Genomic DNA, 19,117 nt, shown 5'->3' on the forward strand with positions numbered 1-19,117 from the left:
ACAAGGTAGGTTCACTAACCCCAAGGAGGTATGCCCATGCTGATTTACATTGTATTGATAAGTACAAAATAAACACAACTGTGTCTCGGGGGCTGCCTGTGAAAGGGCAGATAGTATATTGATGCTGAACTGGTGTTAAGAGAAAACAGGGGTATTGAAAAGTGAGTGGGCACTTGAGAAACTGCCAGTGATGCTGGGTGCCCAGTTTTTGAACAGGCGTGATGCTAGAGGGGGCCTTGATGAAGCCAAGGGGGATGTGGGTATGAAAGGTCAGGAGTGCTGAGAGCTGACTGAAATATGGTCTATGTTAAAGGAGTATCACTCACTATAAATATTCAATGTCAAGAATTTAAATGGCTTACAGACATAGAAGCCCTTGATGATTATGTTATCCAGCATTGTTGATTTCCTTCTGTTGTTTGTCAGCAGCCACCACAATGAATGAATAAGACTCTGGAAGTCTTGACAATGAGTCGGTTTACTTTTAAGTCTGTGCATTTTTCTTTGTGATTACATGCCAGTATAATACCTAATTTGCCTTTTTCGAAATTAAACTAAAGGGAGCCAAGTATGTCATATATCTGTTATTATTTTCCTTTTCTTTTAGAGCCCAATGTTTCCAAAGGACATTAATTTTGATTTCTCCAATGAAGGCTTGTGGCTGTCCTTATGCTTTACAAAACATTACCAAATCAGAGCCGAAAAGAAAACTGTGAGTGAACATTCCTTCCAAACAATTGTTTTTCATTATTTAAGAAAAATTTTCTCAGATTTTTCTGTAATTCATTCCAATATGCTCCTTTTGTAAAAGATGTGGGAAAAAGAGAACACACAAGTGAAAAATGCCTTTTTATTCTGTAGAGGGTTGATACTTAAATATTTTATGAGTCACTCCAACACCTTTCTAAAACAGTATTTTACAAATAAGGTCAGCTTTGCAAGAAAAAAAGTTTATTCTTGAACATAAGCAGGTATTTGTACATTAATGTTATAGTAAAATGTATGTAAAGTAAAAACTACTAGCTTGTTATGGTGTTTTCATCCTTCAAATCAAAAACTTTTCCTTGGAATTTTTCAAGATTGGAATATCAGTTTCTTTAAGCGGGAAAATATTTAAGCTAATGAAATCTTTATCAGATTCAGCAGCTCCACTAAAGAGTAAACTAGGTTATCTACTCAAGAAAAGGTCATTGGGACTTAAAGTAATGTGGATATCTTTACTAATGTAAAAAGATCCCAGAAAGCATTAGCTCGTCTAAATATGTGTTAGATTTGATTTGATTCCTAAAGAATAACGTTTATAATTGCCATCTCCACTTAATTAAGGATAACCACGACTTGATTATACTCATTTCATCTTTACAAATGTGTGTGTTTCTGAGGAAAGCACAATCTTAAAATCTCTAATATTACATGATATATATTTCATCAATACTTCTGGAGTTTCAAAGCATTTCCTTCTGGTTAGTGGAAAGGGGTACTGTGCTAGTTGCATGTAGGTTTAAACCAAATTGCCTACAAATATTGCATAAGTGCCTGAACTTTCAAGACAAAGCTTTTCCAATCAAATACGGTATTTAACCTCCCACCACCACACACATGCGCGCACACACACACACACACACACACACACACACACACACCCCTGCCTCAGAAGTTAAGGGGAAACAGGACAGGCATGGTGGCTCACACCTATAACCCTAGAACTTTGGGAGGCCAAGGTGGGCAGATCACCTGAGGTCAGGGGTTTGAGACCAGCCTGGCCAACATGGTGAAACCCTGTCTCTACTAAAAATACAAAATTAGCCAGGCGTGGTGGCGCATACCTGTAACCCCAGCTCCTGGGTAGGCTAAGACAGGAGAATCATTTGAACCCAGGAGGTGGAGCTTGCGGTGAGCCAAGATCACGCCACTACACTCCAGGCTGGGAGACAGAGTGAGACTCTGTCTCAAAAAAAATTTTTTTTTTAGTTAAAAATATGTTAAGGGGAGAAAACTTCAGTAGAAACTTGTCATTAGCAGTAAATTATTCTTTGGTGTTTTTGGAGTTAATATTTTCTAAAATGGTTGCCGATTGATCAAAATAACTATTTTTATACTTTTGCATGGCTTCTGTGTATTGCAATAATTTAATAATAAGTAAAAAGACTCCCCCTTAAAAGAAAAAGTGCTCGTTAGTGATTGTAATTCCATGTTGTGTGGCATGTTCCTTACATGTTTTGAAAAGGTTATGGATTCACTCACTGTAGCATCAAAAGTATAAAGGTGAGAGGTGAGATTCTTTGTTGCAAGTGCTGAGAAATAATCATTTAAAGGTCAATTGCACTCAAAAAAAAAAAGAACATCTGTTTAATAAGTAACTCATTTTGGGATATGCTGCAATTTTAAAGGTTACAGAATAGACCAATTTGCCAATGATGTCAGCAAGTACTATTAAAGTCATTGGTCCTATAAAAACAATCCTTCGTAAAATTCAGATTGCATGCCTTCTCACATACCCCACCACACATCAAAAAAGTGCCTAAACTATTTATAGTGTGCTTTCAAAGACACATTGCCTCGTGCACTTTACCTTAAGTACTCAGCTCCTCTTAAAAGCAACAGTGGAGTGTTAGATGGGAAAATACCTTGGCAACCACACAGCCACCCCCAACACACAACACACAACCCACTCTCTCCCACATCTGATTCATCCTATTTTGCTTCATTCTTTCAGTTTTATTAATGTATAAGAACACTCCCATGTGTCATGGGTTAGAGGATTTCTCACTGGATATTCTGTTATACCGTACACCAACAACTATCTTACTAGAAACTCCTATACAAAAGAAAAAACTATTGATTCAGCCATGTAAAGGACAAACTATAAACTTATATCCTTTCCTATTCCAAGACCAACTTCCTTCCCCTACTATTCTCTAAAAAAACCAAAGAGAATTTGGTTTGGCAATAAATTGGAATATTAACTTGATATGTAGAAGTAACAATATTTCTACTAAAACTCTTTTAGTACCTGAAAGGTTATTTTGTTCAAGATCTGAATAAAGGTGGTAGTTCATTTAATATAACTTTTATACTATTAAAAAATTTTTGCCTTTAGGGAACTGATGTACAATGAATAAAAGTTGTTTGTTGTTTTTTTTTCTTTGTGAAGCAATATTTTAAACTGGCTATAATTTTCCCTAGAAGGTTCACTCTTTGAGATGAGTATATGAATAAAATAACTTGAAGAAAAACCTCTATAGAAAGCAATCCCTTCCAGACACTTGACTGCTTAAGATTTACGTTTACTTATTTTACTCTTCACGTTGGTTGCAAAGCTCCTCCCCATTGAAGATATTTTGTTGGTGGTAAATAGTGAGTTCTCAGATTTTTATGATTTGATTTTTTACATATGTTGTGTCAGAATTTTAATTACAGTTTGAAAACAATACGTTTTCAAGCACACTTCTAAGGTTTGCTATTTAGATTAAAGGAACTAGAAAGCTTATAACTCTTACCCTATTGTAAAGTAAGAATTACCTCTGTCTATAAGACATTTGCAATTAGAAGAAATTATGATACTCTTATTTCAAGCAACTTAGCTAAGAATCAAGTTATTCTCTTAACTTGACTTGCTTTTCATTTGAAAGAGGGCAAAATCTATTTCCTGGGTAATTTTGCAGAGCAAAGATATTAATACGTTGGGGTTTAATTGTATCCTGTGTTTAAATACACTGTGGGTGAAACCCCAGACCTCTGCTTAATTGCTATGAGAAAATAGCCTGATTTCTCTGAGATTAGGCACACGCTTATGTATACTTTGACCTAAGAGTGCCTCCTTCAGAATTAATCTTCTAAGGTAGAGGGATTTGCTTTTATATGTGCAGCAGGGCCATTCGTGACAAACAGGGCCTAATAAACTAACTTCACCCCCTAGACCTCCCTTTTGCTGTCAACGTTTTTCTTCATCTATTCACTTCACACATCTCTTGTCCAGTGGCTTATTAGCAAATAACCCTCACTGGGCAGGGGGAGTAATTTTAATGGTATTTTTAAATTAGAGGACTTGGAACTTAAATGGGATACTTCAAAAATAAAACTATCTTTAAAACTTTCATTTTTACTAATGAAACATAAAGTACTCTAAAATAACTCCATTTAAGTAAATACCATAGCCCTTTGAAAAGACAAACAATTCGTATTTACTTAAAATTTGGTCTGCAGCTGTATTTTGTTGGATTTGTCTAATGTATGAAAGCACTTTTTCTTTCCCATCAGCTACATCCGAATTGTTTTTGTAAGATGTAACAGAATGTTCTGGTTTTAAAATATTTATATTAATCAAAGTTAGGGCTGTTTATATTTTTTGGCAATCGCGCTTTTCTTTAAAAGTGATGCACTCCTATTTAACTAAACAAAAGTGTTGAAATGGCCTGTCATATAAACTTCAACATAGCACAGTTGGCAATACAAATTCTGGAGACGGAAATAAAAGGGACGTAGTTTCTAGCTTCAGGTTAAACATGGATTAATAAAAAGAGCAACAGTGATAACTTCTAAGATTTTCCCGAGGAAATGTCATTCATTGCTGCTTATAAACTCTAGAGTTACCTGGTGGAAAGGTTTGTGTTCAAGTTTCTTGCTCTATTTTCTTGGGGCATTAGGAAGTAAATCCTAAGCGCTGGCTGAAAAATAATGACAAGCCACTAAAGCTGGAGGCTTAACACAACAATCAATTAATTTTAAAATTCCTTTATATTTTATATATGTCCAAACTCTTTTAGTAATGATAAAAATACTTACATGTTACTTACCTGCAATCAACTGTATTTGTGGGCAGAAATAGCTAAAAGGAAAGAGCTGTTTTTAGAAGTCAAGTCTCCCACTATTGTTATTGCTACAAGCTTTTGTTGGTGAATCTTAAACTGTATGATCTATCTAGACTCACATAAGGAAAGCGGAGTTTTTATTAAAGACATTTTAAACTTCAAGCCAACCTTAGTTAAATTCATATATAGTTATATGTAATTATTTCGTAGTATGGACACTCCCAAATATTCTGGAAGTTTAATAAGACATGGCTTTAGGTAGATTGGTCTATTTGGGTTTTTTGTTCTTGTTGTCATATTCATTCTGTAGTTCAAACTGCATTGATTCACTTCTGTGGAAAATAATCCTAAACAGGAAGGGTGGGGACAGAAGACTTAGTCCCTAATATGGAAATTATAAGTGTTTGTTCTTTCAGAGTATGGTAAGGACATATCAAACAAACAGGAAGTATTATTATGCATTGCAGGCAAAGGGGTTAAAGGTCTCCTGTTCGAACTTTTGGCCCTTCTAGAATCCCTGATCCTTCATTATTTTGTTTAACTTGATGTAAGTCTTGACCAGTAGCTGACTCTGAGAAAACATTTCCTGACATAATTTCCAGAGGTGATGTGGGATTATTGTGCTTGCCTTCTCATTTTGGGTTGAGGATGAAAAGTCCAACAGTGGTTCCTGGTTAATACTTCAAGCACGGTCTTTTAATTAACAGGTCAGTTTAATTCATTCCTTTGGCCTTTAGCATTACAACTTCATTTTCACACTTTGGTTAAAATAATAAATGCACACAACACACACACACACACATTCACATACACACAAACACATTTAAGGAAGCAAAAATGTGCTATAGCAGAACAAAAAATAAGTGGACTCTTTTTAATTATCTCATTCATAATATAAAGTGGTAGAGGATGAGCAAAAAGGTCAGGATATAATAAATATAAAATTTACATCTCCAAACTAATTTACCTTTTTTTAATACCAGCTAAAGCCAATGAAAATAAACATGTATTCTATTATGTTACACCATTACAGATTATTATTAATGTCTTGTTTCCAATTTTAGGCAATTTTGGTATAATCCAAATCTATATATTAGCCAGGGTAGAGGGTTTTGCTTAAGGTAGTTGACATCATATAGTCCAAAGCACAGGAAGAAGTAAAACATATCTGTAATCTTCACCCATTTCCAAACAGAAGGGGATAATCGGGCCAATTCTTCTATTGTGCGCCCTCCTTCTTCATGCAGAGATTCCTTTGAAGTCAGAGGGAGATGAAGGAGCTGAGGCTGAGAATGTGGCTGGAGGAAAAAAAAAATGAATATTATTAGGCCAGAGTCTCATAACCATGATTTATGCCACATTAACCATTGTGTTTGCTATAATGCAGGGCCTTTTTATTATCGTTTTTACCTTCTAGTTTAATCAAGGATCACTAATACAACTTTTAATAATATACTGGGTTTGAAAAAATATGTTTATTTGAACTCCCTTAGGTGAGATTCACAACCCAGCCCCTCAAAAATGTAAAGAAATAATTTTATTTAGAAAAAGCTAAAAATGTAAAAAGCATCACTTTCGGCTTGTATGTAAGTCTAGATGAGGCAGAAAAACTGACCAATTAAATTGGCATTCAGAGTGAGTACAGCACAGAGAGGAAGTTATGAAGGAGGTGGGGATTTATTTACTTGTCAAGCAATTTTCTCTCACTTTCTCCTTACTTCCTACCACCTTCAAAGAGGGAGAAAATGTTAGCTTGCATTTATGTCACCAAGCTAAAAGTTTATTTCTTAACCCTCCTTTGTTACAAATCACAGGGAGCATGAATGTATTTGAGTGCATAGAGGGAAAGTTATATAATTCAAGCAGTGATGGACTGACGCTGTGGAGTGTCATTAGACTTAGGTGAACAGACAGCTGTCCAGAGACTCTTCAGTTTCAAAATCGCCAACAAGAGGAAAATGACTGAAGACAGGAGCAAGGAGAGAACCAATCAACTTGTCAGACTGCGAAGCTATCTAAGAACAAGACAAGTTCTTCCTTCAATTAATATACATTATTTAAGAACAATGCTAAGCCATATGAGAGATAGTAGAGGTACAAAGACAAATCACATGATTCTTAGAACATTCAAAGTTGTGTGGAAGTGAAAAACATGTTAATAAACAATAACAAAGAATATGACAAGCATCATAATACAAGTGTGTACTTAGTGCTATGAGAAGACAAAGAAGGGAGTTATTAATACCTCTTTGAGTTTGGAAAGAGGTATTGGATTGGTGAATAATAATTTCACAAAAAAGTTAATAAATTAAGCTGCATCTTAAAGTATAAGTAGGTATTCATCAAGCAGAAAAGGAAGAAGTGGCCATTCCAGGCAGAAGAAATAATGTAGATTGAAACCAAAGCATGTCTTATTCAGGGAAGAAGAAGTTGTTGACTATGACTATAGCATATGGTATACAGGCTGTGTGGTAGGAGGAAGAGTCTATCATAATTCAGCTCCAAATTGCAGCCCAATAAACAAAGCCTTGCATGTTATGCTAAAGAGTGGGGACTCCATCCAGGAAGCAGTGGAAAGTCACCAAAATGTTTAAGCAGGGGAGTAACATGATAAGAATCGTGCTTTAAAAAATAGCTGGCATCAGTATAGAGGAAGGCTTGGAGAATGACAAGAATAGAATCGTTTTTATGAGTTATAGAGAGATTGAGAATTGAAAATGTGAGCCTTTGCTGTGAAAATAAATTAAGGAGGGATTTTAGGTTTAGGAGGTATAATTAAAAACAAAACAAAACTGGCAACCTCAATACATACAACCTTTCATGTGCATACTATCGGGTTTGGGTCAGAGTGATATGGGTAGAAAAAACATGTTTCCAGTATAGTTAATAGTAGAAGATGGGTGCTTAAGTCAGAATCCCTAGAAGCAGGGACCAAGAGTAAAGTTGTTCTGAAAATGATTTACAAAGGGAGTGCTCTTGGGTGGAGGGAAACAAGAGGAGCAGAATAGGCAGAAGCAGGGAAGAAGGTAGCTAAGAAGGATGAAAACTGGCCTTAGCTGAGCCTGCTCCTTTGGGGAGCTCTAGAGCACATATTGTACCACAGAGTTAGCTCCTCTTATCCCCAGGGAGGATAATTCTCAGGTAAGTTAGCTTGGTTCGGCTGAGGGCTAATCTTTGGGAAGGAGAGAGCTATGAGCTGTTAGCAGCCAAAAACACTTACAGCCGCTGGGGAACAAGAAGGATGCCAATAGCAGCCACTGCAGGCCACCCCTTGCACTCCTCAGAACCACTTGCTTCTGACATTTAGTTTACTCCATTCAGGCACAACAACTTCAGGATTCTGGTTAGTCACATGTCCTGGGCTCCTGTATAAGATAAAGATGAGTAAATCAAACTGTAGCTTCCACTGCTGCAGTGTGTCCCAAGCCCGTAACATAATCATCATCTACCCCTTCATCACTCTTCCAGATGTTCCTCCTTATGGGTGACTACTTCTGCAGGTCTAGATGGATTGTCTGAAGGCATAAACCACATTCTCATAACTTAGGAGTCTAAGCACCTGATTACCAGGCCCTAATCTGGTTATGGTTGCTGTACTTGCCTGTTACAGTTAAACAAGGCATGGGAATACCAAGATGCGGCTCAACAGATCACTTGAGTGACAAACACATTGCTCCCTGTCTCTAACATGTAGCAGCATTTCTGACTCCTCCTGATAATCAGGTCATTTATCCTGCCAATACAGTAACTTTTTGTGCCCGCTAGTCTATTGGCATAAGGAGCTCAAAGTAATCTGGCAATATCCATAGCTTTAAGTTTACTGAGACTTTTCCTAGATCCCCTAGGTGGAAGTTTCCCTCCTGTGGGACTTAGGACCTCTAGACTCAAAACCTGAAGTTGCAGGAATGGGTCCCTGAGAGTGATGGTTGAGTGGAGTTCTTATTTTTACTCTTTGATTCCTGTGCTCATGTATTCTAATCATTGAGGACAGAGAACCATATAGTATCTGTTGCTTTAAAGTGCACACTATACTCCAAAAGATAATACTTATCCCCATAGGATGCCATCTCTAAGCTGGTGCTGTAACTGGGCTAGCATGTGGTAGGACCAATGAACTCCACGAGCATGTGCCCATTGCCATACCTCCTTTTCTATAAAGTGAGTTCCTTGGTCCAATTAACATGATTTTATCCATATGGTCCACAAAGATGATGCCCTGTAGAATGTCTATACAGTCCCAATCCCTACAGACTATATTTGGACCAAGCTGGAGAACTCACATAACCCTGGGACAAGATCATGACTCTTGTTATTAATCAATATGAATGCAAGCTGCTTCTGATCCCCCCTCCCTAATGGGTATTAAAAATAACACATTTGCCAGAACAATAACCACATATCTTGTATCTGGTTAACTTGCCCTAGTAAATATATCACATGCAGCATAACAGCTGTGATTGAAACTACAACTTTGTTCAGTTGGCAGTACTCTGCTCAGAACTCCATGATCCATCTAATTTGTGTATGGTCTAGATTGCTCAGCTATGTGCAGATAGAGGACCTTCACCTATGTATCCTTTAAATCTTTGAGACTATCTATTATGAAAGTAGTATTTATTTATTTATTGCACTAATCTGTGCAATTTTCCTCAGGATGTGGTAACTGGTTTTGATTTACTAACTTGACCATAGAGGATAGTTTTAAAGACTTCCACTTTGATAGTACAATAGTTGATCAAGAAAACAATGGGAGAATTCATCAACCTCTAACTGGCTCATGCCAATTATACATTCAAGGACTAGAAAAATGATCATTAAATGAGTGTGTAAACCCAGTAGAACCACTGTGAAATAAGTCTAGATCAGAACTCCATTTATTTCCTGACACTTACATGACCATACTCTAACAAGCGGCCCATGGTGGTGCTGTCAGCAGCAACTCATATCTTATATCTACCAATCCTAAAAAGATCTGAGGATTCCCTTTGTTCCAGTGTGCAGTTTTCTGAGTAAATACTCTTGGTCCTTTTGGGGAAGAACTGAAGAGTCACACACTTACTATAATGTTGCAGTTCCTGTCTCATGGAGACCCAGCATCTCCGTCAGTCAATAGTTTCTGGGTAAGAGAACTCACTCAGGTATGAAGACAAGGCAAGAAATTATGACTTTCCATTGAGACATCCGATCTCAGCCTTTCGCTCCTTATTTTCTATCTCTTTTGATTATGTGTATGAACCAATACCCTTGTTGGTGACTCATCTATCTTGCCCTTTCACATAGTAACCATTTCCATGGATAGCTTAGGACAGTTCCCACGCCCACCCACACAGCAGCCATTTCAACCCAGTTTCCCATTGTGGTGACTGCACTCACTTTGCTTCTGACAATTAAGCGCTTCCCTGTGGCCCCTGTTAATCAGGAATCCTACCATCCCCCTTGCTACAATGGACCCCAGTCTTTTAATCACATGTCCTTCTATCCCTGGTTTAAGAAGGACTGTGCTTCTCCACAATGTTGGAATCTCTCTGATCAGCAAATTCTTCATCATGTTAATAAACAGCATGTCCTCCAAGCTCTCCTAAGGAACATAGATATGGATATTTCAATCTTCCATAATAAACCCATTTTTGCATGCTCAGTTTTTTTATTAGTTTATTTCTTTCTCCACAATCTATTACTATAGTGCCAGGATCTCTACTTCATTTCATGTGACCCATTACTTTTTCCAAGCTACCGAGAGCTATCCCAGTCTTACATTAGACCTATCATGTAAGACTTTGCTAGGTATTAAATCCTGTGTTACAACAGAACAACCCCATATGAGAAAACTGTCCATTACATAGCTTTATATTCTGCCAAGACCCTCAGGATCCACTCCCAGGCATACTCTTTGAGCATACATGCAGTCAAGTCCTAGATATCACGTGGAGTGTGTAACTCATTTCCTTCCTTAGCAGGCCATCAATTCCCTAGCTGGGTCATGCTGAAATGTGGCCCAAATTATCAGTCTGACTTCCATGAGGGAAAGTACAGGCAGATCTGAGGATTGTCTTATAAGGCATCTGCCTCATTTGAAACCTTGGCATAGTCTTCATGAAAGAAGCTTTCTCTTCCAACAAGAGAAAAGGGGGCTTACTAGCCATTTCTGTGAGCCACACATGTTCAGGGGACAATGTAGTTGTAAGGTGCTCATCTACTCAGATATCCCTATCCCAAACTTCAGGGTACTACTCCTTTTTTTCAGAGTCCTAAATTTTGCACAGGAAGCTTGCTTAGGCTGAGAATTTAGCCTCCTTTAAAGTTCTTCCACTTCTGCAAATGAGCCATGAGCCTGATCTCCAAACCTGTCTGCTTTCTAGCTACAAGAGAAGAATGTCTCTTTAAATGATGCTAATGAGGTTTTCTGACTATCACATTTTGCTTTAAATGCCAAATAATAGAACTGAGTCTGTGTATTAAGCAGACTCTAAGATGGCTCCCAGTAAGCCTTGCCTTGTAGTGTTCATGACATTGTGTAATCCACTCCCTTAAATATGGGCTGGCTTTGTGACTTATGTTTAACCAGCAGAATATGACAAAAGTGACGGTACATCACTTCCATTATTAAGCTACATAAGATTGTCACTTCCTTCTTGCTACCAGAATCCCTCTCTTGCTGGCTTTGATCAATTAATCTGCCCTATTGGAGTGCCCCATGTGGCAAGAACCTGAGGATGGCCTTCAGCGAATAGTTGACAAGGAGCTGAATCCTGTCAACAATCACGTAAGCTTGAAAGTGGATACTTCCCCAGTTGAGCCTTCTGGTGACACCCTAGCCTTAGATGGTACCCAGATAGCAGCCTTGTAAAATACTCTAAAGCAGAGGACTTAACTAAGACATCCCTGGACTCCTGACCCATAAGAACATGGAGATAATAAGTGTGTGTTGTTTTAAGCTGCCTAACTTGTAATAATCTGTGACAAAGCAATAGATATCTAATACAGCCTGTTATTTTATCTCTTTAATGCATCAGTGATATTTAGCAACAATTAGCCATATCTTTAGAGTTCCAATTTCCCCATACCTCTCAAAGCCAGAGACATTGCATCAGCTACTACATCCTCTTCTACCTATATCTCAACCCAGTTGAGATCATGGGTGAAAATTTTAACCAGAGGTAGGCAAATGTTTTCTGGAAAGAACCAGATGGTAAATGTTTTAGGCTTTGAGATCATATGGTCTCTGTCTCAAATACTCAATTCTGTCTAAAAATTGTTAAATGAATGTGTTCCGATAAAATGTTATTTACAAAAAGAAGTGAGTTGGGTTTGGCCTACAGCCATAGTTTGCTGACCCCTGATCTTATCTTAACAATTTCCCTGCTATATGATGCCAGGGACTAACAATAATGCATCTGCCACCAGTGATAAGAGCCTTATTGCCATCCACCTCCCGAATCTCAGCTTAGTCTCAGCTTCTTAGGACCCTTCTAGTGTCATTCAACTTGACTTGGGATCTCTAAAAGCAGAAACTAAGAGAAGGATTCTTATAAAACTAATTTATTGAGGGAGTGCTTTCGGAGAAGGGGAAGGAAGGAGAGGGCAAAGGAAGAAAGCTAAGCAAGAAGTATGTTCAGCTGAAAACTGTGAGAGCTTGGTCCTACAGGAAGCTCTGGAGCACCAGAGGTCAATTCGCCCTTATAGTATGTGTGTAGGTGTGGGGAAGGAGGTGTAGGGGTGGGGAAGTGGGTGCAGGCAGGGAAGGAAGAGCTTTCATATTCCTTATATCAGTAAAGTATTGGCTGTTGGCTGCCTGGGCGGGGGAATGGCCCAAGTAAAGCAATTTCCCTTCTCAGGGAAGGGAAGTAGCTGGGTATGGGTACTTTCCTATTCCTTCTTTGGGACAACCCATTTATCCCAATTACACTTCTGTTTATGACCTAGAAGCATTTTCATTAATTTCTAAGGAATAGAAATAGGATGGTCAAAATACAAAGTATATTAATAATGCCAAAAAGGATGCAAAATAATTCCTGTTCATTATGGTTTTGTATTTGATAGGTGTTATCACTTTTCTTAGCCCATTTGTCAAAACCAGAACTAACATAGTCAAAGTGAACAGAATGGAATGACAGTTTGGGGAGCAATTACAAGAAATATGTGCAGTAGCAGGATAAAACACAAATAGCTCAAAGTTCTCCTATCACCTGGCGCTCACTATTAAATAGTGTAATAACAATCACCCTAGAGACGAGCTGCTTCAGTTTCTATCCCATGCTCTCCCTTACTGGAGCTGTAAACTTGGGTAAAATATTTAAATTTCTGTGCCTCCTCAGTTTCCTAATCTGTAAATTGGGGTTAATGCTAGTATCTACCTCATGAGATCACTGTGGGAAAAAATGAACTAATATGTGAAGTGTTTACAATAGTATTTAGTGCATAGTGTACACTGAGTGTTGGCTTGATTATTGCTGATGTTCCATTATTTGTGATCACTCACTTATCTACTATCTTATTTAAATGTAGCTTTTTCAGCGTACCTTAATTTGGGTTTTGGGCTCTATTACCTCTTATTCCTATGCTTTGAAATATTTGAAAATATAGTTAGAATAGTCTACCGTCAGCAAAAATTCACGTCTCTTTCCTAGACCCCAAGGAAAATTCTGCAAAAAGCCATATTCTTGAGTTCCTTCTGTAGACAAACAGTTAAAAGTGTACCTATGCTTCTAAGCAAAAACCATTAAAAAAGAGTATCTCTATCCACATCTGAGATGATTATCCTTTAGTAATGAATCTAAAGAGGCTCCAATTTTTTGTAAGGTAAAATGATGCCTAAATTTTGCGAAGTTTGTTGGCATGGCTGACCACAAGCAAGAAGCTTCGGAGACTTCAAAAATAGAGGCTTCTATATATTTCTGCACATAGATAGACAACTATGTATGTATGTAGAAACACATAAAGAATATTGTTTATTATATGTTTATATACACTGGCTCAGGAGAGTATAAGCTTCCAATTTTTAGATTTATAAATATACTTTTGAATCTATAATAATGCAGAGTACAAGATTTTGTATGTTGGAGACAGATGAAATATATCTGATCCCCATCATCTGCCTGGCACTTCTACTTCTCTTCATCTTTATAAATCACTGCTCAATAAACAAGCAAATAGGAATCAAGCAACCATGGAGATTTGGAAGAAAGATCACAATTATTTGACGAGTGAAACATCTGGAAAGGGATCATGGCCTCATTATCTTTCAAAAATAGTTAATGAAACTCTTCTTTTAGTTCACTGAAGAATTCAAAGTGGAAATGCTTCATCAAACATTAACTAAGAAAATGCATGCCAATGCTTTGGATAAGTCAAGTTGTCATTCTGCTCCATAAATATTTATCCTGCAGATGGTTTTTGAAACTACCAGTTTCCTTATTATAAGGAAAAGTTAAGTTAGTATATTTATTTTAGATTATATTACAGAACTTTTCAACAGTTGGGATTTTTAAAAACATTTATTCCATTCCTTTTCCTATTTAAAATCAGTGGCTTGAATTGAACAAATCACAACGTAGTTAGAATTCTCACACTTATCAGGTGAAAGATTGGTCTCACCTATTACGTGTCTTCTTGACAATGTAAAAATCCATTTAAAAAATTAGAAATCTTTTGAAATCCTACCTTTCAGAAGAAAATATTTAAAACTTGGTAAGCCATTGGACAGCAAACAGCTTTTGAAAAACAATTACATTGAAAAAGTAAATCATTTTCAGTCCAAATGTGATTGTGCCTTTCTGGTTTTAAAATGTATTATTTTATAAGAATATAATAGAATAAGTCACAACTAGTGTAAAGTGAAGCAGCAAACACATTTAATATAAACACACTGCATTGTGTCTATTTGATTCAATCACCAAACACTTATTGAGCACTGACTAGATGTCAGGAACTGACAGGTGCTAAGAAGGCAAAAATGAAATGGTGGTTACTGCCTTCAGGGAACTCCTAGTCTAATGGAGGTGACAGACACCTCTACAGCTATCTATAATAATAGAGTGTGACATGTGCTATGCTAGCAGCACCAGCTAAGTATTATAGGAGTGAAGGGGCAGGGGATGGGAAGTAACCTCCTGAATCCAGTTTAAAATTGAGAAGTGCAATACTTTTTATGAACCAAGGATCCCAAAGAAAGTCAGTCAATATATAAATGAAGATAAACAAAAGCCTTTGAGGGAACAAATTTAGAGGACAATTCTTAACTGTACCTTCCCAGTAAACATGGGAGTAATAACATTTAGAGAATTGAAAGATTGTGAACAATGTGCCTATTTTTACATCTCAAGGGTATTTTTGCAGGACATAAGTTGTGACTGTAATGACAGACTTCTGTGCAGTGGCATTCCTATAACTGCTATGAATGTACTCAACTTCATTAAAATCATTAACAATTACCAAAGATCGTTATTTCAACATGGCAGTCAACCACATGCTAAAACTAAATTTGCACCTAAGTATATTCAGTACTGGGGCAAATGTGGTCAAAATTGATTAACATTTAAGAAAATTACAATGTCACAAAAACTGAGGTGCCAAGTTCTTCATTCCGTTAATAAAACTTACTTAGTTTGGCAAGATATAAATAATTACATGAGCCTGCGATATGAATGTATTGCCTTAGCATTTGCTTAGCTCTTTGGGCTATTAAATAATAGTTCTATATCTGAGTGTCTTAGTCCATTTGGGCTGCTATAACAGAATGCTATGGACTAGGTGGCTTATAAGCAACAGAAATTTATATCTAACAGTTCTGGAAGCTGAGAAGTCCAAGAGCAAGGCGCCAGCAGATTCAGCATCTGTTGAGGGCTGCTTCCTGGTTCATAGGCAGCTGTCTTCTCCTTGTCCTCACAGGGCGGAAGGGGTGAGGGAGCTCTCTGCGGCCTCTTTTATAAGAGCACTGTTCCCATTCATGAGGCCTCTACCCTCATGACCTAGTCACCTACTGAAAGTCTCACCTTCTAATGCCATCACAGTGGGAACTAGGATCTTTTTTTTTTTTTTAACAACTGGTAATCAATTTATTAAAATAGTTGACTTAAGCATCCGCAATGGTGACTTCCACTTTAACTCCTGGCTCAATACTGAAGTCATCTGCTTAACAATCTCAAAAGGACTGTGCAAGTCAATGAGTCGCTTGTGGATTCTCATCCCGAAATGATCCCATGTCTTAGAACCTTCACCACAAGGATTTTTTCTTGTAGTGATTCTCAAACTCTTGGTAGGCATTCGAACTTGTCCTTTCACTTCGAGATTCTTTTCCTTTCCTCCTCTGATCAAGTCAGCTCACACCTTCTCCAGAGATTTTACATTGCAGCTCGTTAGAGTGATTCGAATTCAGTGAATTGTCACCTCCGGCTCCAAGGGTGTTTTTCCTGTATCCTTAAAAGCCATGGCTGCTGCGCGGCTCCCTGACCGACTTGTTCCTTGGCAAGAGCGAACAGCGGTGAGTCAGGAGAAGGAGCGGGCGGATCAGAGCTCCGCACCACCTACGACAGTGTCTTCCCCAAAGAGGGAAACTAGGATCTTAATTTATGAATTTTTATTTCCAGAATCCCTAGATTTTACTTTTTTTTTTTGGACAGTTTTCTGAGTGAGGTGATTAAAATGTATCAAGCAACAGAAACTTTTGGCACAACGAATTTTTTTTCCTGAAAAATTCCCCACACATTTGCTTTTGAGAGGTAACACACAGGATTAAGTAGTCTCTAGCTTTCTGCCTTAATATTTGTCTTGGCTTTTGGGTGATGAGTGGACACGGCTATGTACAACTGCTGCTTCTTGAACTCTTCCGTCTGCCTGTCCCCCATCTGTCTGTCTTTGGTTAGTAAGACGGTTTTGCCTTATCTTTTTGAATATTTGAATAACATGATTAAATTTTTAAAAATTCTACCAAATAAGTATTTAAGCACAGTCCCTGCCCTGTGAATTTATAAGATAATGAAAAGGCACCTTCCAAACAAAGAAAAGATGGAAAGATATTCTTCCTGAGAAAAGTATGTAACAATAGGGAAAAGCCAGTCGTCTCTTCTCTAATCCTTTGCCTTTGACATCTGTCATTTGGGGGAGAGGATTATGTGGGTGTTGGGTGGTGTTACAGTAGCAGTTAAAAAGTTCTCTTCATCCTGTGATACTGATTCTCTACCCTTTGTCAGTGACTTCCTATCTTACATATTACTTTCAGATATTTTCTCTTTTTAGCTTACCACCAATGAATTATATTTGCTACAAATATAATTCTTTCTACAAAAGCAGAAAGTGCATATGAAAAAATAAAGAAAAAAATTATATTTGCTAATATTTTACATGTTTGAATTAAAGTTTAAAAAACACAATAGCAACAGCAGTAATGATAAAAACGTGAATTTATTTAGTGTTTCACAATTTTCAAAGCATGTGTACGTATATTATCTCATTTGATCCTCATAATAACCATATGGATAGGTAGAACAGGCATTATTGTTTTCATTTTACACATGAGAAAATTAAATACCTTAACTGAGTTACCCCAGAAATGTAAGACAAAGATTCAAATGCAAATCCCATTGTTCCTCAACTTACAATGGGGTTACATCCGGATAAACCCATCTTAAGCTGAAAATATTATAAGTCAGAAATGCATTTCATACCCCCAATAAACCCATCAAAAGGTTGTAAAATCTTAAGTCAAACCACTGTAAGTCAGTGATTGTTTGTATTTTACTTGAGCTGATCCCCAGAAACATTGATAGGGAGTGTGGAATGAGTCAGAAGGGAAGAAAACCAATAGAAGATGTGTTTTCAAGGTGGTTTCCAATTTGGCAGTTCAGTCGTGCTGGGGAGCTATGAAAGCGGGTACACAATGCTGCCCAGTGTTAGCTCAATTAAGGGGTAAAGAAGCTGGAATATTTATCTACCAACTCTCCACCTATCTTTGGTTGAAGTCTGCCTCCAGAGGTAACAACTGTAGTGTACTTCTGGTTTGCATTTTTTGGTAAACTGAGCATATTCTCAGAGCCAGAAAAAAGTCCTCACTCCCAGAGTCACAGATGTTCAGAGTAAGCAGCTTTCAAGGTGCAGAGGTGAATGATGGGTGGGGTAGAATGGTCTTGGTTAGCCAAACTCAACAAGGTTAAGCAATTTATCCAACCAGAGTTACACAGCTAATATTGGCAAGACCATGAAGGGACTTAGGCTTTTGGCTGTTTGGGTAGATTCCTGGATAGAGTAAAATAGATGTCATTTCTTGTTCTCAAAGTGTAGGTTAGGAAAGAGAGTAGGTAAGAGAGAATATATTAAGCGTGAAAAAAATATTCTTTCTAAAGTTCTTACAATAATTGAGATTTGTTCACCCTGTACATATAATAAAATTATTCAAAACCTGAAGATTTTATAGAATGCAAAGAAATATCAATATATGGACCTTTACATAGCAAACATGCTAATACTCTGCCAGTATACATTGCCAAGGTTTTCTGTCCATTTGGTGGTATTTTGCTAAGGACACTGGAACAAATTTTTGTATTTACAAGTGCCATAACACGTTTAAAGGACATGTATATTGCAGAAAATTATGACACACAAGTGGTCAGGGAAACATTATGTGGAAAAGTCCCAGCTGATGTGTATGTTATCGCTAAACAGCCTCTTCACATCAGTGGCACTCACGCCTCAGTTTCACAGTCGTGAAATATTTGCATACAGATGTGAAGGTATTCTTGTGGCTTCCTCAATAAACCAGAATGGGGCTTTATGCACCCCTGAGTTTTCAATTAATGTTGTTGACAGAATGAATGGCTATTTATGCCATGAGCCTTTTATGTTCATTCATGGTACACAATACCTAAGTCTTAAAGATCTCATCTAAATGCCTCCCCTCTTGGGAGGGTGCTTATGGATTCCATTGTATATATAGGGTAGCATAAGGTTCAATGATTCTATCTAATCAGCAGAGTGGACCTTACATTTTAGCAAAGGCCACTGAAGCCTTTGTTCTGCAACAGGCCATTATGCTACAACTTCTTACAATAAGTTGAATGTCTGTTTGTCCAAAGATCTTAGGCATCCAATGCCTGAACTTCACTTTCCCAAGTATGCCTTTCTGTCCTCACCACACCCCAACACTCATATTTTTGGGAAAAGGATACCTACACAGGAAAATCATTTTTCTATGTGTAGTGAGCCTTAGTACACTCATCCATTTGACTGTGGTGAATAAGGGCCTGGAACATGGTTGGAGCCCAATAAATGTTTGCTGAATTTAATCCAACAAGAAAGAAACAGCACTACCAGCC

The 19,117-nt window shown here is 37.5% G+C and overlaps 1 protein-coding gene and 1 pseudogene across 8 annotated transcripts in view; one reads left to right on the forward strand and one right to left on the reverse strand.

The window, feature by feature from the left end:
* ADGRL2 (adhesion G protein-coupled receptor L2) overlaps positions 1-19,117 on the forward strand; it is a 687,801-nt gene that overhangs the window by 274,137 nt on the left and 394,547 nt on the right. For all 8 annotated transcript variants that reach the window (XM_047416152.1, XM_047416118.1, XM_047416159.1 and 5 more), the window contains one exon: positions 608-712. The gene's annotated coding sequence lies outside the window, so the exon portion shown is untranslated. The remainder of the gene's footprint in view (positions 1-607; positions 713-19,117) is intronic.
* RPS20P7 (ribosomal protein S20 pseudogene 7) lies at positions 15,847-16,358 on the reverse strand (annotated as a pseudogene).

This window comes from Homo sapiens, chromosome 1, assembly GCF_000001405.40.
Source record: "Homo sapiens chromosome 1, GRCh38.p14 Primary Assembly".
NCBI lineage: Eukaryota > Metazoa > Chordata > Mammalia > Primates > Hominidae > Homo > Homo sapiens.